We start from the raw sequence: 27,081 nt of genomic DNA on the forward strand, positions 1-27,081 counted from the left end.
ATGCATAGAAGTTTCATAGCATGCCCTCACTGACCTGGAGAGAATTCTCAAGGGGTTGAAGCCAGATGAACAAATAATACAAAACTATATTGTCAAAAAATAAATGAAAACTTTTAGTTCACTAAATATACTCATGATTATTTTTGAGAACCAGAGTAAAGAAAAGCATTTGATACCTGTTAACCTATAAACTGTTCATATTGTAGAAAATACACATCTTTTTATTCCATATATTTAATTAGCAGGTCAGGCACTGTGGTTCACACCTGTAATCCCATCATTTTGGGAAGCCGAGGCAGGCAAATCACTTGAGACCAGGAGCTTGAGACCAGCCTGGCCAACATGGCGAAACCCCATCTCTACTAAAAATACAAAAATTAGCCAGGTGTGATGGAGCACACTTGTAATCCCAGCTCCTTGGGAAGCTGAGACAAGAGAATTGCTTAAATGGGGGAGGCGGAGTTTGTAGTGAGCCGAGATTGCACCACTGCACTCCAGCCTGGGCGACAGAGCAAGACTCTCTCTCCCCACCCCCAACCCCCACCCAAAAAATTCAATTAACAAACATCATCAAATTCCCCTTATGCCCAATCCTTAACTCTGAGGTTAACCATTATATAGTGTGACCTCTATCACCATTAACTAGTTTTGTCTATTTTTGAAATGTATGTAAATGAAATCACAGAGTAGATACCCTTGTGTCTGGCTTGTTTTGCTCAACATTATGCATATTAGATTCAAACATGTTTTGCATGTAGGAGCAGTTTGTTTATTAACATTACCAAATAATATTACATGATATTAACATAAAAGTCATTTTCTCATTTGAATTATTTGGACATTTGGATTATTTCAAGCTTGGGGCTATTAAAAGTCATGCTTTTATTGGATATTTTTGTGCATGGCTTAGCTGCAAATATGAATACATTTCTGTTAGGAATAGACTTAGGGAAGAAATTTCACGGTTAAGATATGCATATTTTCAGCTATAGTTCATATTATGAAACAGTTTCACAAATGGTTATACCAATTTACATTTCCACCAGCAGTGTATGTGAGTTCCAGGCATTCCACATCTTCACCAACACTTGGTGTCACGGATCATGTTAGTTTTAGCTGTTTGGGTGCATGTGTAATCCTTTTCATTTTTCTATTGGATTTATTGTCTTTTTTCTTAAATATTTGTAGAAGTATTTTTAATTTTTGATTTTGTTCTTATTTTTAATTTTGGCTTCAAATCTTTTTTCATTTATATGCATCACAAACATTTTTTTCCTGTGTGGTTTGCTTCCTCACTCTCTTAAGAGTGTCTTCTGAAGAAATAAAGGCCTTAATTTTAAGGTCATCTATTTTATCAGTCTTTTCCTTTGTTGTTAGTGTTAAGTAAATTAAAATGGAGAGCAAGAGGTAGAGCAAGATACAAATAAAATCCTCGAGCAACCATCTCCCTGCAGGAACACAAAATTGAACAGCTATCCTCACAAGAAAACACCCTAATAAGAGCCAAAAATCAAGTGAGCAATCACAGTACTTGGCTTTAACATCATATCAAGGAAAGAGGCACTGAAGAGGGTAGGAAAGACAGTCTTGAATTGCCTACATCAACTCTTGCACCCATACCCTTGGCAGAGGGAGAACGAAGTAATGGTAGAACTTTGTATTGGAATCCAGTGCTGCCCTGTCACAGTGGAAAGCAACTCAGGGCAGAATTCAGCCATGGACAGAACATTTAGACCTGCCCCAGACAGAGAGGAATTGTTCGTTCCAGTAGTTGGAGCTTGAGTTCCAGCTATCCCCACCATCACAGACTAAAGTGCTCTGGGGTACTAAATAAATTTGAAAGGCAGTCCAGGCCACAAGGAGTACCATTCTGGGGCAAGTCCTGGTGTTGTGGACATGGTGTGCTCGTGACCCAGTGATACACTAGCTGGGGTAGCCAAGGGAATGCTTATGTCACTCCTTCCCCAAATCCAGACAATGCAGCACATAGCTCTCGCAGAGACTCCTTTTGCCTGGGCAAAGGAAAGGGAAGAGTAAAGAAGACTTTGTCTTGCAACTTGGATAGCAACACACCCACAGTAAAATAAAGCACCAAATGGACTCCTAAAGCACCCATTCCAGGCCCTAGCTCCCAGAGGACATTTGGAGATCCACCCTAGGCCAGAGGGAGACTCCTGCCCTGAAGGGAAGGACCCTGTTCTGGCAGGATTCATCACCTGCTGACTAAAGAACCACTGGAATTTGAATAAACATCAGCAGTAGCTAGGAAGTAGTCCAGACAGGCCTTGGGTAAGACTCAGTACTGTGCTGGTTTCAGGTGTGACCCAGCACATTCCTAGCTATGGTTACCGTGGGTAGAGACACTTGCTTGAGGAAAGGAGAAGAAAGAGTCAAAAGGACTTTGTTTTACGACTTGGGTACCAGCTAAGCCAAAGTAAAATAAAGCATCAAGCAGACTCCTAAAGTCTCCAATTCTAGGCCATAGCTCCCACAGTACATTTCTAGATCCACCCTGAGCCAGAAAGGAACCTGCTGCCCTGAAGGGAAAGACACAATCCTTGCAGGATTCACCACCTGTTGGCTAAAGAGCCCTTCGGCCTTAAATGAACATCAACAATAGCCAGGCAGTAATTGCCACAGGCCTTTGATGAGACCCAGTATTGAGCTGGCTTCAGATGTGACCCAGCACAGTCCCAGCAGTGGTGGCAGTGGGAGTGCTTGCATCACCCTTCTCTCAACTCCAAGCAGCTCAGTATGCAGAAAAAGACTCCAGTTGTTTGGGGGAACGGAAGGAGAGAACAAGAAACACTGCCTGGTAATCCAGGGAATTCTGCTGGCTCTTACCTAAGGCCACCAAGGAGGACCTTCTGTGACTCTGCAAGAGTCACAACTTCAGTGGGCTTGGGATGCCCGCAAATGCAGATATAGTTGCAGTGACCCAAGTGTTAGATCACAACATTCAATTCCCTTCAAATATTTGGAAAGCTTTCTAAAGAAGGACAGGTGAAACAAGCCCAGACTGCAAAAATTAGAATAAATACCTAGCTCTTTTTTTTTTTTTTTTTTTTTTTTTTTTTTGAGACGGAGTCTCGCTCTGTCACCCAGGCTGGAGTGCAGTGGCGCGATCTCGGCTCACTGCAAGCTCCACCTCCCGGGTTCGCGCCATTCTCTTGCCTCAGCCTCCCGAGTAGCTGGGACTACAGGCGCCCGCCACCAAGCACGGCTAATTTTGTGTATTTTCAGTAGAGACGGGGTTTCACCGTGTTAGCCAGGATGTTCTAGATCTCCTGACCTCGTGATCCGCCCCTCTCCGTCTCCCAAAGTGTTGGGATTACAGGCGTGAGCCACCGCGCCCGGCTAAATACCTAACTCTTAATTGCCTCAACATTAACAAACATCCACAAGCATCAGGGCCATTCAGGAAAACATGACCTAACCAAACGAACTAAATAAGATACCAGAAACCAATTCCACAGTAAGAGATATGTAACCTTTCAGACAGATAATTCAAAATAGTTGTTTTGAGGAAGCTCAAGAAAATCCGAGATAACACAGAGAAGGAATTCATAATTCTATCAGGTAAATTTGAGAAAGAAAAAGAAATAATTTAAAAGAACCAAGCAGAAATTCTGTAGCCAAAAAATTCAGTTGACAAACTGAAGAATGAATCAGTCTCTCAACAGCAGAATGGATCAAGAAGAAATAATGAGTACCAGAAGACAGGATATTAGAAAATACACAGGCAGAAGAGACAAAAGAAAAAAGAATAAAAAAAAAAAGAAGCATGTCTACAAGATACAGGAAATAGCATCAAAGGGGCAAATCTAAGAGTGGCCTTAAAGAAGAGATAGAGAGATCAGGGTAGAAAGTTTATTCAAAGAGATAATATCAGAGAGCTTCCGAAATCTAGAGAAAGATATCAACACTCATTTACAAGAAGGTGATAGAACACCAAGCAGGTTTAACCCAAATAAGACTACTTCAACACATTTAATTATCAAATTCCCAAAGGTCAAGGGTAAAGAAAGAATCCTAAACACAGCAAAGGACAAGAAGCAAATAACATATAAAGGACCTCCAATATGTTGTTACATTCTTTTTGCATTCTGTTTAAAAAGTCTTTGCTTTATCTCAAAGTCATAAAGATATTTTCCCATGCTATCATCTAGAAACTTCACGTTTATTCTTTGCATTCATATAAATAGTGTATTGGGAGTTAATTTTTGTGTATGATTTGAGGTAGAGTTCAAGCTGTGCTATTTTTTATGCAAATGACCCAGGACCCTTTAATTTTAAAAAACATTATTTCTCCATTGTACTAGTGTCATCTTATGAGCATATGTGTCAGTCAGTTTTTTTTTGGACTCTATTTCATTTGTCTGTTAGTCAGTCCTTCCACCAACACAGCACTCTATTTTTGACTGTAGCTCTTACATTAAATACATTAAACTTTGATTAGTGACAATGTTAAGCATCAAGGTTTGTTATCCTGAGGATAGTCTTGGCTATTGTTTGCTCTTTGCATTTCCATATGTATATACTTTAGAATTACTTGTCATTTTCATAAAAAATAAAATCTTACTGCAATTTTGATTGGGATTACAGTAAATATATAGAGTAATTTGGAAACAATTGACATTTTTATAATATTGAAATTTCCAATCCATGGACATGATATATTATCTATAGATTCATCCGTATTGTAGGAGAAGCAAAATTTTACCTCTACCCTCTCTGGGTTTTTCAGCCGAGCCTAATAAAAAGAAACTGACATAGGACAGATTAACAGGAAGAAGTATACAAATTTACTTAAGTTTTATGTGTCACCAGATCTTCATAAGGAAATGAAGACCCAAAAATGCAATTTGTATGTATGTATATATATACATATATAGATACATGACTTTTAGTTCATCCTAATGTATTGACATTTTTATGATTGTAAAATGTCCTTTTTTTCTCTCTTGTAACACTGCTTATTTTGAAGTCTATTTTATCTCATATTAATATAATGATTCTAGACTTCTTTTGCTTGTTGTTTGCATTGTGTATTTGTTCCATCTATTTTCAGCCGCCCTCTGTCTTTTTTTTTTTTTTGAGACGGAGTCTCGCTCTGTCGCCCAGGCTGGAGTGCAGTGGCGGGATCTCGGCTCACTGCAAGCTCCGCCTCCCGGGTTCACGCCATTCTCCTGCCTCAGCCTCCCAAGTAGCTGGGACTACAGGCGCCCGCCACTACGCCCGGCTAATTTTTTTGTATTTTTAGTAGAGACGGGGTTTCACCATTTCTTAGCCGGGATGGTCTCAATCTCCTGACCTCGTGATCCGCCCGCCTCGGCCTCCCAAAGTGCTGGGATTACAGGCGTGAGCCACCGCGCCCGGCCCCTCTGTCTATATTTAAAATGCATCACTTGTGACAACAAATAGTTGGATCTTCCTTTTTTTTAATCCATTCTAACAATCTTAGAATTTTAGAGTGTTTACTACATTAAAGTTTAAACAATTAATTACATGATCAAATTTAAACATGATGATTGTTTGTTTACTGATTAACATTAATCTCACTCTGTGCTTTTGGTCTCTGTTTCTCCTGACCTGCCTTTTGCATTGCTTAAATACGTTTTTTAGAATTCTGGTTTAATTTTTCTATTGGTACTTTAGTTGTGCCTTTTAGTATTGCCATTTTGGTGGTTTTTCAAGGTATTTCAATAAACATTAATAATGTTTTACAGTCTAGTTAGGGCTAATATTGTAGTATTTCATAAAACAAGTGTAGAAATTCTGTAATCATGTAGATCACCCTTCCTTGTTTATGCTATAATTATCAAATATATTAACATATATTATAAACTACAAAAGAAAATGTCATAATTTTGCTTTAAGTAATACATGTATTTCAAAGGAAATTGAAGAAGACATTTAAATCACCCAGATACTTAATAAATTTTGATGCCATTTGCCATTTCCTCCTAAAGAGTCAAATTTCCATCTAATCATTTCCTGTCAATCTGAAGTACTTCTTTAGCATTTCTTGTAGCATACATCTGCCAGCAATAAATTATCTTAGTTATTTTTAACAATATCTTCATTTGCCGTCTGTATTAAATAATATTTTCATTGCATGTAGAATTCTAGGTTGAATTATTTTTCTTTTAGCACTCTGAAAATGTTATTTTGTTATCTTTTTGGTTCTATAGTTTCTAATAAGAAATCAGTAATTTATTTTTCATCAATGAGCATAGTTACAATAGCTACTAAAAGTCCTTGAAGGCTAATTTCAACATGTGAGTCTTCTTGGTATCCTCCATTTTGTCTTTTCTCTTGAAAATTGATTGCATTTTTCTGCTTTGAGTTTTTGTGTTCATTGTTGTTGCTTACACTGTGGACATTGTGAATGCTGTTTGCAAGGCTGAATCCTATTATAATCCTCTGAAGAGTTTGGATTTGTTTTTACCATACATCCTTTCTCTTGATCCTAATTCTTGATATGTCAAAATATATTTTCCACAGGCTTGGGATAAAGTTATCCCTCTCTAGAGTTGATTTACCCTCTACTCTGGTGAGTAACAAAGAACAAATCACCTAGATCTAATCATGCCTGAACTGACTTGAAGCTGGCTTGCAGTCTGGCTGAAACTCTTTTCTCCATCTTCCTAGAGGAAAGCCCTCCAGAATTATCAATTGACAGCCTGGGTTGTATTTTAGAGCTCTCCTTCTTGGTGGCTCCTAAACTCCATTTCTTTTCTCAGCATCAGAAGACTGCTAAAAACTCCTCTTTTTTATAGTCACTTTCTACATAATTCTTAGCTTCTTGCCATTTACAACTGCAATGGTAAATGTTTTGGTGGTTAAACATGTGTTCAGTGTCAAGGTGACTTACTTGCACCTTTGTACTCTCCAAGATCTTATTCGTTCAACCCCAGGTTGCTTTGGTAACTGCAAACCAAATTTTTATCTTTCCATACTGAAGAGGTTGTCTTGAAACTTGAGTGGCTTCTCTGCCAGCATCTACTCTGGCCAGTTCTTTGGCCTCTTGGCCTCTTGACCTCTTGACCCATACTGAAAATGGGCAAATGCATTGAGAGGAAAAAAAATGCAGAAAGTTGGAAACACTTCAGTGAATTTTCCTTCTTTGTTTGATCTGGCCCCTCATATCCTGGTAGCTTAGAAATTCTCTAATATCTTACAGATTTTTGTGGGTTTTTTTTCCTTGACTTTCATAAGTCATAGTAAAAGTGTTAGTCTGCTACAAACTGTCCCACCATTGCCAGAAGAGGTCCCTACAATAAATATCTCCAGAAATTTGCCAAATTATTTTATAACAAAATATTTATGATTATGTTATATTCCACTGAACTGGTGTTCTATAACTTTCTTAATGTCTTCCTATTTATTGCATTTACAATAATCTTATTTTTAAAATTTTTTGCAGTGGGCATAGTAATTAATGTGTTTTTTTTTCCCCTGAGGAATTTATTTTTTTCCAAATGAATTCCCAGGAGCAAGAAATCCTTTAATGTTTAAAAAAATATGAACAATGTATTGCTCATTAAAGGCTTTTTTTGGATAACCTTTCAAAAGGATTGTACCAATCTATAACGCCACATAAAATGTATAATTGCTGCATTTTTATTACAGGCTCTCCAGCAGCGAACAATTTTATATTTAATTTTGGATGATTTAATAATTATAAATAATATATGTCATTTCAATTTAAATTCTCTTTGATCACTTACAAAGTTAAGAAGTGTGTTATATGGGCAGGCCAGGAGTAATTTCAAAGACTGCATGTCAGTAGAGCTATGGGGGAAGTTTTCATAATTGTAACAGCACATGAGTTCATTTCGCAGTTGTTTCTGGTGTATTCTTCCTTGTATTCTCAGAATTTTGCACAGGCTATGTTCAATAAACATTTATTAATTACTACCATTCTTCTTTCATTTTTCTTTTATTTTTCAATGACTTTAGACAGAGTCTTTGAAAAATATTTCTGAGGCTTTAGTTGCACATGATACAAAATTGTGGCTTATCTGTTTAAAGCACTTACTATATGTCCAATATCCTCCTTTCCTGGATGCCTCTTTCTGATCTATTTTACCATCAGGAGAAATAATAGATTCATAAGTTATGTATCTGTTATCTAGACTTAGATTGGTAGATTTTTCCTTTTTATCTGTAGCAAACTGGCAAAGAGGACACAATTGTATTTCTGTACTTGAGCAGGCACGTAATAACAAAGTTTTGAAAAATGAGGACATTATTCAAGGCTGCAAGATAAAGCATGACAGACAGAGTTTTTGATTGGGCAAACAGTCAGTTCTGCTCAACCATCATTCTGTAAATGCCCATCTTTCTGTAAGCAAAAATAATGCAGCTAATTTATCATCAGTAGTGTGGTTTTGAGTTGCTTTTCCAGGAGTAGTAATCAATTTGAAATAATTCTATCTGTATTGTAAAATTTCCTGACAAATTACAATTATGGCAAAGCAGAAAATATTAATTTTTTACATAATAGTCACTTTAAAATACATAATATCCTCTATAAATTTTTATAGGCTTTTCACTTAGAAACAAAATACATGCATCTTTATTTTCTCACAAACTATTATATTTGCTGTGTTAAATTCAGATGTATAGTTTATTCAAGCAATAGCTGCAAATGTCCTAATTTAATTTGTTTGCAGTTCTTTTTTTAAATATGAAGTCATAAACTACTTCACATTAAAGATAGCATCTCTTGAGTTACACAGGCTAAAATTTGTAAAAAGGAGAAAATGCATTTGCTAAATAAAAATAAATATAAATACATACTTTAGATCTACTCTCACCTAGAAAGATAAACAGGTAGAAAAATATTTTCTTTTAAATAGAGACGATAAAGAGAAAAATTTTAAAGCTTGGAATAAAATTTTATTTATTTGGTTTTATTTCCAGGTTGGAAACAAACTTTAAATTTGTCCATTCCTTACTATCCAGTGAATCAATACCCTTTCAGTTATCTCCTATAAATAGTTTTCTACATTTTGGGATTTCATGGTTGAAGAAAGACATGCATTTCAGGAAATGTCCACAGAAACAAATGTTGTTTCGATAACTCATCCATTTTGTTAAGTTAATGACAATAGAAACAGCAACCAATAAAACCTAAAATCTACAAATATTATTTTCCAATAAAAAGGGGATTTGAACACCTAAATAGAGGCAAAAAATAGTCTCAGGGTAAAGACAGACTTTTCATCAAATCCATTAACCTTTTAGAAAAGTTGTTATTGGTTTTATAGTTTCTTTTTCTCACTTTTACATCTTCATGCGCAATATTTATTTCTAGAACTACATGTCAATTACATGGGTATGTTCACTTTGCTTCAATAGAACAAAAATTGTTTAAAAATTGGAAAAATATAAAAAAACTTTCCCCACTGCCTGGAGCCAATACTCAGACAAACATACATCTAATCTAAACACTGCCAACCACAGAAAATTTACTGCTTTATAAAATTGGAAAGCTTTAAGTTTTAAAAATATTTTTATTATTTTAAAACAAAAGTTACTTCCCTATAATTTCCTTTCATGTTCTCTAGGTAAGTCTTTTGGAACTATTTAGAACAAGTCCATTCTCCTTTTCTGTAAGAATTAAGACAATTAATGAAGTAAAAGGGTTGGGATCGTATTAGTAGTTTCCAAATGTCTTCATGCCACATTTCAGCATTTTCAGGGACTTCTGAAACCCAAAGCTTTGAACATATTCAATACAACTTTCTAAAATTTAATGGGCTAGTTTATTTCTTGATTTGGTCTGAGTTCAATCCTGATATGTGAGCTTCAGATAATGATGGCCATCTTTGAAGTAAGCAAGAAGCAATAATCAGAGACCTTACCCACAGAGTGCCAGAAGGCTTTTCTTCTTTGGCAGCACCTGCAACTGCATTCCTGGATCAAACAGTGGAAGGTGCATTCTGTTTTCTAACTGTTGAAAATGCCTTTCCACCACAAGTCTTCACGCGCAGCATGGTTTTCTATCGCATGAGTGCCATTATAGCACTGCCCTTATCTAATGAGAAGTGTCCCTGGAGGCAGACATGAATCTCACTTGCTTTTGAGAGATGTATCATTTGTCCATGGTTACAGAAATAGTGGTGATCTGCTCCTGTGTAATTTAACATCCTCCTCTTGCAACATTCATAAGAATCATCTAAGGGAGTAAAACCTGAGTAACAGTATCACGGCATTTAACCAAAGGGATATAATTCTAATATTATTCTCCTCCTATTTTCCACGCTGCTACAACACTTTTCTGTAAATATGTTCTTTGCTTTTATACTGGTATCATATTATTTTCAGGATAAAACTTAGGGTCTTCTATGTGGCTTAGAAAATCTTTCTGACCTGATCCTGCCTGCCCTATCTGCATCACCTTTTGCTGTAACTACCCTGACTCAAAACTCTGACATTGAACCACAAGTTCCTTGAAGCCCCACGCTCATTCTTGCCTCAGTGGCTTTGAGCTGGTTACTTCCTCTTCCTAAAATGCCTTGTGCCACCAATCTTCTTCTGGCTTATATACCAACAGTTCTCATCTCGTCAGATAAGCATCCCCTAACTCCTGCATGTCTCTATATTACCACAGCATGCCACATGCAGCTCCATTCTGTACAAGCCACACTTATATTAGAGCTTTCATTTTGTATTTCTATAGATTGTGAGCATCTTAAAAGTAAAGACTCTAACATATCTAACTCTATATCCTCAGCAGTTTTCACAGTGCCTGGTACAAGCTAGTCTCCTTGGATAATTTATTTTTCCTGTTCTCCATTTTGATAACTGATAAATGCTCTTTCATATTATCTTTTCTACAGCCAGCTGTAAACATATATAGGAAAGCTGGCTAGAAGATAGAATGAAAATGGAAAGAAACATACCCCTCCATACCCCAATGCATATCAAAAGAGCATATTAACCTCATTGCCAAAGTTGTCCAACTACATGGTGAATACATCATGAACCTTTTGATATATTTTGTCTTACTAGGTGTAATTGTCATTTCCCTTTTTGGTAGTGCCGTGATATTTGGCAGTTTTGTAACAATACATAGATTCTGCTGTTAGTGACAACCACAGTGTCTGTGTGACCACTGTATGTAGAATAGCTGACAACTGTGAAGTTGGGATAACAATGAATTTGTCATGCATTCTTACAGTGACAAGTAGAAAACACTGCTTTATATTTTCAGCTTCCGGATAAGTACACTTTGTATCTTCTTTCAAATATTTCCCAGTCATCATGGCTGATGGATTGACAACCTCAAAATCATTTTCTCACAGGAAAAATTTAGCAAAGCATCACAACCTGGTTCAAGATAGAATAAAGTTCGGAAAATAAAAGAACATGGATGAAAGAAAATACAGGGTGTATCAGGACATACACTACTTAGATTAAAAAGAAAAGTCAGAAGACATTTCTCTGCATAAGATCATTCCACCTTTATACACACACCTGCACACACATGCATTCTTTGTGTGTGCAGTAAAATAATAAATGCTGCCAAACAAAAATTCTAAAAACAAAGCACCTTTTTTCTTAGTAATAATCTATCAATAATAATCGGGTAACCAGCCATTTTAATTAAAAAAATCTAACCAGTTTCTCTTTGGAAACCTCAGCAAGTCTGTTGCTATTGATTTGATCAGTAGAATTGGCATATCTGTGTGGTGGGCTCCACCATTCTCAGCATATTCGATCACATGTTGTATTGCAAGTGTCGCATAGGCACAGATGGGGAGTAATTTGAGAGAGCTATTTACTCAACACCAACTCTTCACCAGCTATTGGGTCAGTTTTATTACATGATTATTTAATCATTATGTGAACTCCATGGGTAGTTGTATCTCCTCTTTATGAAGGAGGAAGCTGGCTCAATTATATAGGCAACCCAGAATTCAAATCAATGTAAAAATGACTTCATAGCCCCTACTTATGCTGTGGTGTCACAATATCAATGAGATATCTCATTTGTGGTTCCATCTTCATCTAGTCTACATCAATACTGAGTAAGACAGGAAATAGTTCATGAGGAGCTGCCAAATAGGTGACGTGTATATTTTACCCTATCAAGTTGGCCCAGTTCATATGCTTCAGTATTATTTGCTCAAATTTCTTAAAATCCATAAATCTAAGTATTACTTCAGGTCTACATAATCAGAAAACTTAATGGGTAGAGCCCAGTATCTGTAGTTTTAAAAGCTTCATGGATGATTCTAATGTTCGTGCTAAACTATTTTCTGAACTTTTCTATTCTTTTAAATCCATAATTACTTATTGAAAACCTACTAAGTCATCTACCAAAGGCAAATTTTGTTACAAGGACCTGGTAAGTACCCAGAAATACATGTTATTATTTTCCTGACATTTTCCCAGGGCCTGGAAAGTGACTTTGATTGACCAAAGATTGTCTCAAGGGTGCTTTAAATATAAAAAGAATTCATCAGCCTATACAGATGTCTATCACGTACAGGTAAAACTAGGTACATTGCTTTGCTTATGCTCATCAGGAAACAATCTAACCTTGGTCTCTATTTTTTATTAGCAAGAGTGATATACAATCCTATGGACACATGTTCTGGCCTTTTCTTGAATCAAATCAACAAACAGCATGATTTTGGTAGTTGAAAAAGAATCAATGAAGTTTGAAATATTATGCTAATGGTCCCATTACATTATGAATAATGGCCTTATTTTCTTCAAACTAGAAAGAAAATAAATTTTCTCTAGATGGGGAAAAATAATTTACTATTTAGGAAAAATCACAAACCACAAATTCCTGGTTTCCAGTCAGGCATATAAAGAGCTTAGAAGTCACCACTCTACCCTAACAAGTGAAAAGCTAAACAAACTGAGAAATCAACAACTCTTCTTACATCTATCAGGGATTTCAGGTCACTCAATTCAAACACTGCTACTCCCAAAATTAGAGAGACAGACAGGCAGATACAGAGAATCACACTTCACTGGAGCAGAAACCCACGGTAGGAACCTCCACATGAACTACTGAAGAAGTAGGAAAACTAAACTATAATTGACCACTTGCTGGAGGCTTGATATGGACAAGTATGAGAGTTAAAAATCTCAGGTAGACGTAATCATAGGACAGCCTTCATGCTTTAGTGAGTTTTCCCTCCAGGAGACCTACCAGGTCCTCACAATGAATGTCAGGGAAAAAAAAATCCCCTCCCTGCTTCTGTCAGGGAGAGGAGAAAAGGAGCCATTTTATTGTTTTTTGGGTTTTTTTGTTGTTGTTTTATATATATATATATATATATATATATATATATATATATATATATATTTATTTATTTATTATACTTTAAGTTCTAGGGTACATGTGCACAACATACAGGTTTGTTATATATGTATACATGTGCCATGCTGGTGTGCTGCACCCATTAACTGGTCATTTACATTAGATATATCTCCTAATGCTATCCCTCCCTCCTCCCACCACCCCACAACAGGCCCTGGTGTGTGATGTTCCCCTTCCTGTGTCCAAGTGTTCTCATTGTTCAATTCACACCTATGAGTGAGAACATGCAGTGTTTAGTTTTTTGTTCTTGCGATAGTTTGCTGAGAATGATGGTTTCCAGCTTTATCCATGTCCCTACAAAGGACATGAACTCATCATTTTTTATGGCTGCATAGTATTCCATGGTATATATGTGCCACATTTTCTTAATCCAGTCTATCATTGCTGGACTTTTGGGTTGGTTCCAAGTCTTTGCTATTGTGAGTAGTACTGCAATAAACATACGTGTGCATGTGTCTTTATAGCAACACGATTTGTAATCCTTTGGGTATATACTCAGTAATGGGATGGCTGGTTCAAATGGTATTTCTAGTTCCAGATCCCTGAGGAATCGCCACACTGTCTTCCACAATGGTTGAACTAGTTTACAGTCCCACCAACAGTGTAAAAGTGTTCCTATTTCTCCACATCCTCTCCAGCACCTGTTGTTTCCTGACTTTTTAATGATCGCCATTCTAACTGGTGTGAGATGGTATCTCATTGTGGTTTTGATTTGCATTTCTCTGATGGCCAGTGATGATGAGCATTTTTTCATGTGTCTTTTGGCTGCATAAATGTCTTCCTTTGAGAATTGTCTGTTCATATCCTTTGCCCACTTTTTGATGGGGTTGTTTGATTTTTTCTTTCAAATTTGTTTAAGTTCTTTGTATATTCTGGATATTAGCCCTTTGTCAGATGAGTAGATTGCAAAAATTTTCTCCCGTTTCGTAGGTTGTCTGTTCACTCTGATGTTAGTTTCTTTTGCTGTGCAGAAGCTCTTTAGTTTAATTAGATCCCATTTGTCAATTGTGGCTTTTGTTGCCATTGCTTTTGGTGTTTTAGACATGAAGTCCTTGCCCATGCCTATGTCCTGAATGGTAATGCCTAGGTTCCTTCTAGGATTTTTATGGTTTTAGGTCTAACGTTTAAGTCTTTAATCCATCTTGAATTAATTTTAGTATAAGGTGTAAGGAAGGGATCCAGTTTCAGCTTTCTACATATGGCTAGCCAGTTTTCCCAGCACCATTTATTAAATAGGGAATCCTTTCCCCATTTCTTGTTTTTGTCAGGTTTGTCAAAGATCAGATAGTTGTAGATGTGTGGTATTATTTCTGAAGGCTCTGTTCTGTTCCATTGTTCTGTATCTCTGTTTTGTTACCAGTACCATGCTGTTTTGGTTACTGTAGCCTTGTAGTATAGTTTGAAGTCAGGTAGCATGATGCCTCCAGCTTTGTTCTTTTGGCTTAGGATTGACTTGGCAATACGGGCTCTTTTTTGGTTCCATATGAAATTTAAAGTAGTTTTTTCTAATTCTGTGAAGAAAGTCTTTGGTAGTTTGATGGTGATGGCATTGAATCTATAAATTACCTTGGGCACTATGGCCATTTTCACGATATTGATTCTTCCTATCCATAAGCATGGAATGTTCTTCCATTTGTTTTTATCCTCTTTTATTTTGTTGAGCAGTGGTTTGTAGTTCTCCTTGAAGAGGTCCTTCACAAAAAGGAGCCATCTTAAAATACACCAGAACAGTCTATTCTTCACAAGGCCTGCTCTCAGGAGAAGCTATTTTACCAGAACCTAATCTGCTGGGGTTTTTATCAGAGTCTGACCTACCTAGGGAAAAGAAAATGCCCAACTCAAGTTCCCGCTAGGCTTCCAGGTGGGAGAAGAAAATAGCCAGTTCTAGGCCCTCTAGCCATCCTGTCCTACCTAAGAGGGGAGAAACACTGAGAAGCACTTGAGAAGTTCATAGTTCATGAGCACAGGCTCACCAAAAGACTGAAACCTAATCATAGGACCACAGTATGCATCCCTTTCCTTCACACCTTAACACTATTATCAAAGTCTCATTCATCACAATTCCTTTTACCAGAACATCATGCACAACTTCCAACAAAAAATTACAGGCATACTAAAAAGGGAAGAGATGGAACATGAATCAGAACCAGAGTCAGATACAGCAAGAATGTTAGAATTGTCGCATCAGAAATTTTTAAAAATCTGTGATGAATATGTTAAAGAATTTAATGGAAAAAAGCAGACAACATGCAAGAACAAATTGGCAGTGTAAACAGAGGCGAAAATTATAAGAAAGAATCTAAAAAAATGCTAGAGATCAAAAACACTAACAGAAATGAAAAATGCCTTTGCTGGACTTACTAGTAGACTGGACACATCTGAGGAAAGAATCTTTGAGCTTGAGTGTATTACAATAGAAACTCCTGAAACTGAAAAGTGAAGAGAAAAAAAAAAAAAAAACTAGAAAAAAGAACAGAATATTCAAGAACTGTGGGACAACTACAAAAGGTAATGCTAATGTGTAATGCGAATGCCAAAGGACAAGAAAGACAGAAAGGAACTGAAGCACTATTTGAAGCAAGAATGCCTGAGACTTTCCCCCAAATTAATGTCAAACACCAAACCACAAATTCAGGGAGCTCCGAGAAGACCAAGCAGAAGATATGTTTTAAAAAAACTGCACCAAAAAATAAATATTATATTTAAATTTCAGAGAATCAAAGACAAAGACAAACTCTTGAAAAGAGCCAGAGGAAAACCACACCTTACCTATAGAGGAGCAAATACAAGAATTAAATACAAGCAAGAAATTAATAGAGTGAAATATTTGAAGTGTTGAGAGAAAACAAAACAAAAAGTATAGAACTCTGTTACCCTGCAAAATTACCTTTCAAAAGTGAAGGAAAAATAAAACTTTCTCAGGCAAACAAAAGCCAAGGGCATTGTTGCCTGCATTGCAAAAAATGTTAAAAAAAATTTCTTCAGAAAGAAGGAAAATAGTAGAGGTCAGAAACTCAGATTTACATTTAAAAAGGAAGAACATCAAAGAAGGAATAAATGAAAGTAAAATATTTTCCATTTTTTATTCTTAATTGACCTAACACATGACAGTGTTTAAAATAATAATAGTAGCAACGTATTTGATTATATATTTTATATATGTATATGTAATTTATACATATTTAAATATTTATATATGTCTTACATATATACATATACATATATACACTTATGTATACACTTATATATAAGTGAAATGAATGACAGCAATAATATGAGAGATAGAAGAAGGAATTAGTAATACTTTGTTTTGATAAGATACTTGCACTATTCATGAAGTGACACAGTGTTGTTTGAGGGTGGAGTTGGATTAATTGTAAATGTATATTGTAAACCCTAGAGCAACCACTAAAAATTTAAAAAAGAAATATATAATTGATATGCTAAGAAAAGAAAGAAAATGGAATCAGTGAAAACCCCAGAGGCAGAAAAAGCATGGAAGACAAAATAGGAACCGAAAATAAGGGCAACAAGTAGAAAACAGTAACAAATATGGTAGATATCAATTCACCTATATTAACAACCACTTTAAGGGTCAAAGGTCTAAATACACCAATTAAAAGACAGAGATGGTCAAAGTAGATCAAGGCAAGATCCAAATACATATTGTTTACAAAAAACTTACTTCATGTAATATATAAAAATATATGAATAAAATTGATGGAGAAAGATATACCATGTTAACACTAATCAAAGAAAAGGCAGGAGTGGCAATTTCAAGCAAAATCTGAGCAAATTATTTTGAGGATATCAGCAAATTGATTCTAAAATTTTATTTAGGAAAGCCAACTACCCAGAATAATCAAATAATACCGAAAGAGAAGAAGTCACAGGATTGACACTACCTAACTTCAAGATTTTACTATAAAACAATACTAGCCAAGACTGTATGGTATTGGTGAAAGAACAGACAAATAGATCTATGGAACAGAATAGAGAGCCCAGGAATAGACTCACATAAATGTAGTCAACTGATCTTTGGCAAAGGAGCAAAGACAATGGCAATACAATGGAGCAAAGATACTTACTCAACAAAGGGACCATTTCAACACATGGTATTAGAACAAAGAGACATCCACAGGCACACACAAAAAGGGCCTCAACACAGATCTTTCATCCTTTGTAAACATTAACTTAACAATAGATCATAGACCTAAAGGTAAATTATAAAACAATAAAACTTTTAGAAGGATAATGCAAGAATAAATCTAGATGACCTTAGGTATGGTGATGATATTTTAGGTATAACATAAAAGGCCATTCCATGAAATAACCAATTGATAAAATGGATTTTCTTAAAACTAAAACTTCTACACTGTGAAAGACAACATCGAAAGATTAGAAGACAAGCCACAGAATGGGAGAAAATATTTCCAAAGACATATCTAATAAAAGACTGTTATCCAAAATACACAAAAAGTGCTTAAGAACTCAACAGACAAACCAACAACTTGTTTTTAAAAAAATGAGTAAAAGACTTGAACAGACACCTCACGAAAGTAGATATACAGATGGAAAGTATGCATATGAAAAAATGTTCAACATCATATATCATTTACAAGTTGCAAATTAAAAATAACAATGAGCTACCACTACTTGCCTATTAAAATGACCTAAATTTGAGAGGCCGAGGTGGGTGGATCATGAGGTCAAGAGATCGAGACCATCCTGGCCAACATGGTGAAACCCCATCTCTACTAAAAATACAAAAATTAGCTGGGGGTGGTGGCGTGCCTGTAGTCCCAGCTACTTCGGAGGCTGAAGCAGGGGAATCACTTGAACCCAGGAGGTGGAGGTTGCAGTGAGCTGAGATTGTGCCACTGCACTGTAGCCTGGTGACAGAGCGAGACTCCGTCTCAAAAAATAAAAAATACATAAAAATAAAATAAAATAAAATGACGTAAATACAAAACACAGGCAATATCAAATGCTGCCAAGGAATTTGGCAAGGAACAATAGGAACTCACATTTATTTCTGGTGGGAATGCAAAATGGTACAGCCACTTTGGAAGACAATTTGACCATATCTTAAAAAACTAAGCATGCTTTTCTCATATGGTCCAGCAATCATGCTCCTTAATACTTACCTAAATGAATTGAAAGGTTATGTCCACACAAACACCTGTACATGGATGTTTATAGCAGCTTTATTTATAATTGCCAAAATTTGGAAGCAAACGAGATTTCCTCCAGTAGGTTAATGGATAAACGGTGGTATATCCAGATGATGCAATATTATTTAGCCACAAAATAAATGAACTAGCAAGCCATGAAAAGAAAGGGAGGAAACTTAATTGTATTACTAAGTTAAAGAGGCCAATCTGAAAAAAATTACATACTTTCTCTTTCAGTCATATGACATTCTGGAAAAACCCAAACTATGGAGACAGTGAAAAATGAGTTACACCAAGAGGGTTAGGAGGGGGAGAAAGATAAATAAGTAGAGCACAGAAGATTTTTAGGGCAATGAAACTATTCTGTGAATGGCAGATCCACATCACTATGCATTTGTCAACACCTATTGAATATGCAACTCCAAAAGTGAAACTTAATATAAACAATGGACTTCGGGTGATAATGGTGTGTCAATATAGGTATATTGATTGTAGCTAATACATCACTGTAGTGTGGGTTGTCAATAGTGGGAGAGATTATGTCAGGGGCCAGGGAGTACATGGAAACTCTCTGTACTTTATGCTAAATTTTGCTGAGACCCCAAAACTTTAAAATTAATGTTTATTAATTTAAAAAAATCACAAATTATTTAATATTATGTCATAGTCCCAAAGATATTCCTTAGGAGTGAAAATAATATTCAGTAAGTAATACCCATGATTTTTAAAAAAATTTGGGACACATTGATCTCGTGATACTGAATTTGTTTAGATCTCTGTCTTTACCTGGAGAAAGTGAATAATTTGTTAATGGATTAGGATTCAACTCATTCCATGGTTTACTTATTTCACTTAACGATAAATGCCTATTATAATTTGACTCCCAAAAAGGGACAAGCAACAAGAATGTGCTTTTTTAAACCATTAATCAACACTCTATATTTTCTCATTAAAATAGCAGGCTACATTCTTAGTGAATGACCTACCATGTTCACCAAAATTGACAATATTGAAGAACATTCTTTAGATTCCTTGGTTATAAACAACCACTTTATTGTCTGATTAGAGATAAGCTGCACGCACACACACATAACGATATAAACCACAAAACTGCTATACACAGCCATAATGCTTTTTGCCATTGTGTGAACTCTCAACTCCTACCTTTCTGCTCCACATATACATAGGACCTATGGGACCATGCACATAGCCAGCATGATAAAGTTGGGGGAAACAACCTCCCATGTACTCCATGTACTCAATATTATGCATGGGCTAGTTACTAGCTTCTTTGTGCCTCAGTTTACTGTTTGTTAAACATTCCTTATGACAACCAACCATATCAAAGGAGAAGAAAATATGAACTAACATGCAAGTATAGAGATGCTACTACATAAGCAAAATCTTACCAAACTGTAATATTAATGTGGAGTGATAGGAAGCAAGGAATTGAGGGTTAACAAAATTTCCCTTAATGGAGGGAATGTTTTGAGAGTTTGAGAGGTCCTGAGAGACCTTGGTGGTTTGAACTTAACAAAGATCTTATGCAACCAACACCTGTAGCTGGGTTAAGGGAGTGTAGGATACAGCTGCTTAAAAGGAATTTTCCATCTCTACAGGAATCTAGCAGCCCAAAGGGACATTGCAAATAGTAAAGATGTGGGCTACGGAACAGCAGGCTTAAAACTCCCTATCAAAGTGGGAAATAAAAGGTCATTCTCAAAGTGGGTAAGTAGACATTTATCCAAATGTCAGAGGGATTGAGCACACGTGAGCGCATCTTGAGAGTTTGTTGGCTTGGTGTCAAAGGACATTTATTGATGGGACACTGAGCAGTGTCACACAAATGTACTTTGTTTCAGCTTAATTGGACTTTCCCCCAGGTATCTAGGGTAAGTAATGCTAGAGGTATCTGGGGACCTAAAATCAGAGAGTATGGTGGAAAATATGATGATGTACTTCAACATATCAAATTTTCATGAAATTTTTTATGCAAGGAATTTTTATAATAATATCGAAGTTTCAATAGTTGTGGTTTATACTATCTCAAGAAGCAAGGACAAATACAGGTTATTCATAGACTACTTCTGTTCATACATTCCATATATATTTATTGAATGTCTAGTATGTGTCAAACACTATTGGCCTTGAAGTTGGGCTGAGTCTCAGTCAGCAGTTTTTTCAGCAAACTGGCCTTACAGGTGTGTCAAATATTAGTAAATGATCTAGGTGCTTTGAATGTAAAGTTATCCAGAGGTAAAGGACTCTGGATAACTTTACAAAATCAAAGTAGCAAAATCATCTTTACAAGACAGTAAACATAAAGGAGCCACACCCAAGTTAGAATTTGGAGAACCAGATTCACAGGAGACTTTGGTTACCTCAGGTCATCATTCAAAGCTCGAGGAACAGCAGTGATACTTCCAACTCAGGTGATGGAGTGAACAACAGCATGAATGATAACTGGCAGAAACAGCAAATAGTGAGAATATTTACCAGGGACACCGCAAAATGATGAAAGGATTTCAGTGTCATTCTTCTCACTCAGTTGAACTGAGAGCTAAATGTGCTTTTTCAAACCGTTCTATTAACCAAGTACTCCATAAACAGTATGGACCAAGGATACAAGAGAGACACAAATAAATAAATCTAAAAATTAATGATGGATATAGGGGGAAACTATTTCTTAAAGAAATTAACAACAGCCTAAAAGCAAAGAAAAAATGAAAATATATAGATCTCTGCAGATGAGTCATGAATCTATAAATATAACCTCATTTTACTTAACTCTCACAGCAAAAGACAAAGATCAGCCAAACAGGTTTAAGTACTAGATCCAACATGTTGATCTGTCTCTATCCCATATCAGTTCAGTTTCAAAGGAATTTTGCCAAGACTGTCTCCTTTGAAAAGGGTACATAAAAGCACTTCAGAATTTTCCCTTAGGAGAAATATGAGTCATCATTTGCTTTATACAAGTTTTTGTGTGATATTCAAGGGGAAAAACAAAATACCTGCTTTTAGAGATGGTGTTAGAAACAAATTTCTTAGACAAACTGAAAACAATGCCTCAGAAATGAAGAAATAAAATTTCTTAGACAAACTGAAAACAATGCCTCAGAAACAATGCCTTGAAATGTGTTTCAAACTTAAAATGTCTGTGAATGAGGTAAAACTATTTGTAGGAAATGTATTTGTATCTGTATGAGTCAAGGTTCCCCAGAGAAACATAACTAATGGGATATGTATATATATCCAAAAAATATTTATTTTAAAGGATTGGCTCACACAATTATAGAAGCCGGCAAGTCCGAAATCTGCAAGGCAGACCGGCAGACTGGAAGACATGCAGGGCAGACTGGCAGGCTGGAGGATTGGCACCCAGGAAGCACTGCTACTCAGTTTAGGTCCAAAAGCTGTCAGGCTAAGAAACCAGGACCCAGTGTTGCACCTCAAGTCTGAAGGGTGTGTGGCATGATTCTCTCTTTCTTGACAGAAGTCAATCTTTTGTTCTCTTCAGGTCTTCCACTGCTTGGTTGAGGCCCATTCACATTTGTGGAGGGCAATCTGCTTTATTCAAAAGTCACCAATTTAAATGTTACTTTCATCCAAAAACTCCCTCACGGAAACCTCCAGAACAATGTTTGATCACATATCTGGCATCATGGCCCAGCCATGTTGACACATAAAATTAACCATCACAGTATCTATATAACCCACTTTATTTTTTAAAAAATTTAGTCTTTTGTCCAAAAATCATAAACACGTTTTCAGAGAAGACCCCCTAAATGTAGAATATTATATTGATTGCCTACAATTATGAAATAAATGAACTTTTCATAGCTCCTGTTAATACCAATGCTTCAGGCACCAAAATCTCTGACATTTTTCTCAGTGGGTCAATAAATAAGCTCAAAATTTGCCAAAGAATTATGTCTGTGCTCAACAATTACAGAAAGAGAGTATGAGAGACCACTATTCCCAGAAGAGAGTCCTTTACCTCTGGATAACTTTACATTCAAAGCACCTAGATCATTTACTAATATTTGGCTCACCTGTAAGGCCAGTTTGCTGAAAAAACTGCTGACTGAGACTCAGCCCAACTTCAGGGCCAATAGTGTTTGACACATACTAGGCATTCAATAAATATGTATGGAATATATGAACAGAAGTAGTCTATGAATAACCTGTATTTGTCCTTGCTTCTTGAGATAGTATAAACCACAACTATTGAAACTTTGATATTACTTATTATAAAAATTCCTTGCATAAACAATTTCATGGAAGTCTTTCAGTCTGGAATTTGTGTCTTTGATATCACTAAGTGGTGCTCAAGCTGATTTTTGAAAGTGTTCGAAATTCATTTTTATTTATGCCTGCATGCAGCTCTCAACACAAACGTATGCTCCTTTTATTATGTATTCCTTTCTTCTTTCTAGTTCATCCCTTTCTTTTCTCTTCTTATTTTTCTCTTTTAACATTTTTTGTTTCTCTTTTCTTCTTTGCAGTGTTTTAGGCTTAAAAGAGCCCTCTCCTGCCCCGTGTGATATTATTTAGTCCTTTTACAGGCACTTGAAACTATAGTCATTCAGCTTTTCAATGGTCTTAAATTAAATCATTTGTTATTTGCATTAATGTGCTTCAGTGTTTATCTCATAGAGTTCTTTCCACAAAGTGTAAAGTTAATGACAGATATTATAAGGATGAATCATGATTGATGAAAACGATGGTGATGATGATGCTGTTGTTGGCAAGTGACTTGCAGAGTGGACTACTGACATTTTTTACCGCCTGGCTTCTCTCTCATTTTGATAGAATAACTGCCCTTTGACAAACATCCCTCTTAAACTTTGCTTTTTAATTTTTTTCTAAGTGAGACAAACAAACAAAATTGCACCTGGCAAATGCTGATTAAGCCAAGGGCAAATGCCTGACTCTGGAGAAAACTCATATAGGTTGGCCAGTGATTTGTGGAATTGTTAGAAAAGAGAAGCTGGTTTATTATTATTCCAACTCCAGGACTTTGATATATAAAAGATTCTGTTAGTAAAATGTGCTACAGCTGGGAGGTCACAATAAAAGTTTACACTGGTGGCCATTGCCCAAATATATGCATAAATCAATCAAGCCAGAGGGTGGATGGAGTTAATGTTGTAGATAAATGCAGCCAATTCAGGAGAATAAGAGTACAGAGAGATTTTATAGCACCTGAGAGATGCAGAGGAGCCTAATTTTACACTTGAAATTTCTAGTTCTACTTCTTTCTAAGATTCATGAGATGCCCAGGTGGTTTTCTGTTTCTTGATATCAGAAGAGTCATAAAAGATTTTCAGGAGTCTCTGTCTCAGAAGAAAAAACAATTATAATATTTTATGTTATCATAACCTTCAACATATACTCTACATAGCTATATTTGTTCAGCATCTACTGTATACAAAAGCCTCCCCAGAAATCACAGAAATAGTATAGGATATAGCAAAGAAATAGGATATAGTAATCCTATATTTTATCTTCACAGAATTGGATGAGTTTTAGTAGGTCACATATTCCAGCAAAAGCATGTTTCTCTTAGTTTCCCATGCAGCTAGGTGAGGTCACGTGAGTAGCTTCTAGCTGTGAATTGGAAGTGCTCTGTGCAACTTCTAGGTGAGGTCTTTAAAGATAGGGAGCATACTTTCTATCCTCCCTTATACCTTTCCTGTTGAGTAGGATATAGCCATTACAGTAACAATCATCTTAAACTACAATATGGTAGCCAGACCATGGTGACGGCAGTCTCTAATATTACGGACCTTTCATTTAAGATCTGGATTATTTACCCTTGTATTCTTGCATGAAATCTCCATGTTATTTAACTCAATGTTACTTTGTCTTTGCTACAGCAGCCAAAGAGATATACTAACAAACAACATTGATGAGAAGGAGATTCTGTTAATAGGAGGAAGGAAAAGCATCAAAGGTAATTAGATGAAGTAAGATGATTTAGTTTTGGAATTTAGAAGGAAGTGCATACTTCACCAAGATGTTAAAAGAAATAGGCAAAAAAAAAAAAAAAAAAGAGGAAAACTGCACAAAGTTAATGTGTTCTCAACCACAAAAATAAAGTGAGTAAAGAACACAGCAGATGTTTCCCCAAATATAGTTGAGGTAGTGGTTAAGGATGAACTTCATATGCACCCCCCTGATTGCCCTAAAAAAAAAGTATACTTCTCTATATTTAATGTAATCTACATGCAGATATAGAAAAAAAGATATAACCTGCTACATATTATCTAATTAGCACCTCATCTAGGGTAGATCCAGGTATTTCTGACATCAACAATAACTAAGGTCATGGTTAGAGAACTTTAATTATATAGAAAACGATGAATTTGAACTTGTGCTTGAAAAATCTTCTGTGAACGGCATGCTTGCTTTTCCCTAGGACTTTGCTAAAAGTAATGTAGATAATAAGTATGTAGTCCTTATCTACAGTCTCACAAATTCCGGTTATTGGCCTTACTATCTTGAAGAACTCTTTATCTGAGAAATGTTTTAAGTTCCTTTTCTTGGTGACCTGTGTGAGCTGCTTTGGGATTCAAGTAATTGTAGAAGCTTGCTGTTAGATTGTTTTCCTTGCGCTTATCATTATCAACCAGGGAGAATGGAATGGCCCAGTGAGGGCTGTGGGAGAAAGGGAGGGAGACAAGAATCTGTAGAAACCTTAAGAGTTTAATAAAGGTTCCAAAAACAAATATGCTGAATCTAGATCTGTAATCAACATGAAACGTTTCTGTTTTGATGATAGCGGGATGGACTGTCCTCTCCCCAGCTATGATGATGGTTAATCTAAGATAGAAAGCAAATCTTAATTAGATACGTTAAATGCATTTATTCCTATTAAATATTGGCTTTATTTCTTGTAGGACAACAATAATGATTAATGTTACAGAATTGCATTTGTGTAAACATAGATTTTAGTACTTAACAATAATTATAGAAAGCTGTGAACTTGGATTTCCAAGGACAGAGAGAAATAAAGAAGTAAATAATACTAATTTATATGGACATATTATATCCTAAATATCAGAATAATAGTTTGTTCCCTTGAAAGACTTAGATAGTTTTTGCTCGGGGAAGCCTTCTCAGAATTCCTACCCATGTATCTAGGTTAGGTGTTTCTTTTCTGTGCTTCAATAGCACAACTTATCACTCCATTATAATACTTTTGTAAATTTATTTTTCTGCCTCTATACAGTAAACTCTCTGATAGTAGGAATATATATTACTTGATCACCATATGTTCCAGTTATCAATTTCCAGATAACAAATAACTCCAACACATTGTGGCTTAAAGGAACAATCATTCTGTTCACAATTTTGTAAACACATGTAACAAATTATGTACAAATTCTGTTGTAAACAAATTCTGTAAAATTCTGTAAACAAAACAGAGTGTAGAGCCCTGCCATCTGGACAGGACTCAGTGAGAAAGTCTTGCCTTTGTTCCACACAGTGGATGAACTGGGGCTGGAAAATCTGCTTCCAAGATGGCTTCTTTGAATGGTTTGTGTATTCATTATCTATTACTGTGTGACAATTTACTTCAAATGTAGCGGCTTAAAAATATAATCAGCATTTGGGTTTTTTTTAACACAGTTTCTGTGGATTGAGTATGCAAGGAAGAATTAGCTGGGTGGTTCTGCTCAAAACCTGTTCTCAGAACAGTTTTGTGGTTGCGAATAGCTGGGTGGTTCTGCTCAAAACCTGTCATGATACTGTAGCCTAGGGTTGCAGTCACCTGAAAGTATGACGGAGGCTAGGGAATCTTATTTGTAAATGGCTCACTCACACAGATAGGGAGCTGGTATTGGCTATTTGTAGAAGACCTGAGTTCCTTACCACAAGGACCGATCATCGGACTGCATGACACAGCAGTTGGCTTTCCTCAGAGTGGTCTAAAAGACAGCAAAACAAAAGCTGCAATGGCTTTTAATGCTTACCCTATGAGGTCACACGCTGTTATTTCTGTTATATCTTGTTGGTCACACAGTTCAGTCCTATTCAGTGTGAATACAAGAAGGTAGGAATTATTATGGCCACTTTAAAGTCTGGCTACCTACCACAGCTGCTATATTGGCATTAGCTATTACCTGTGCTTTCCCATAAGGCTCCTCGGACTTCCTCACAGCATGGTGACTGCATCTCAAGAGAAAGAGGAAGCAAGGAAATTAAGACGCAGAAAGTAACACAGTGACTATACCAGTTTTTAAATCCTATACCCAAAGATGGATACATTATTTCCACTTTATTCTACCAATGAAAGCAGTTATTTATCCCACACAGAATAATCTATAAAAGAAATGACAAAGAATTTGTGATTTTTTTTTTTTTTTGAGATGGAGTCTCACTCTGTCACCCAGGCTGGAGTGCAGTGGCACTATCTCGGGTTCAGGTGATTCTCCTGCCTCAGTCTCCCAAGTAGCTGGGACTATAGGCTCACACCACCACGCCCGGCTAATTTTTGTATTTTTGGTAGAGACAGGGTTTCACTATGTTGGCCAGGATGGTCTC

General features: G+C 36.2%; 1 long non-coding RNA gene across 4 annotated transcripts in view; it reads left to right on the forward strand.

The window, feature by feature from the left end:
- The window catches only part of LOC105378789 (uncharacterized), a 112,950-nt gene that overhangs the window by 20,058 nt on the left and 65,811 nt on the right, over positions 1-27,081 (forward strand). For all 4 annotated transcript variants that reach the window (XR_001738106.2, XR_947488.3, XR_007066166.1 and 1 more), the window contains exons 2-3: positions 20,148-20,256; positions 24,411-24,487. This is a non-coding gene — a long non-coding RNA (uncharacterized LOC105378789). The remainder of the gene's footprint in view (positions 1-20,147; positions 20,257-24,410; positions 24,488-27,081) is intronic.

Source organism: Homo sapiens, chromosome 1, assembly GCF_000001405.40.
Source record: "Homo sapiens chromosome 1, GRCh38.p14 Primary Assembly".
NCBI lineage: Eukaryota > Metazoa > Chordata > Mammalia > Primates > Hominidae > Homo > Homo sapiens.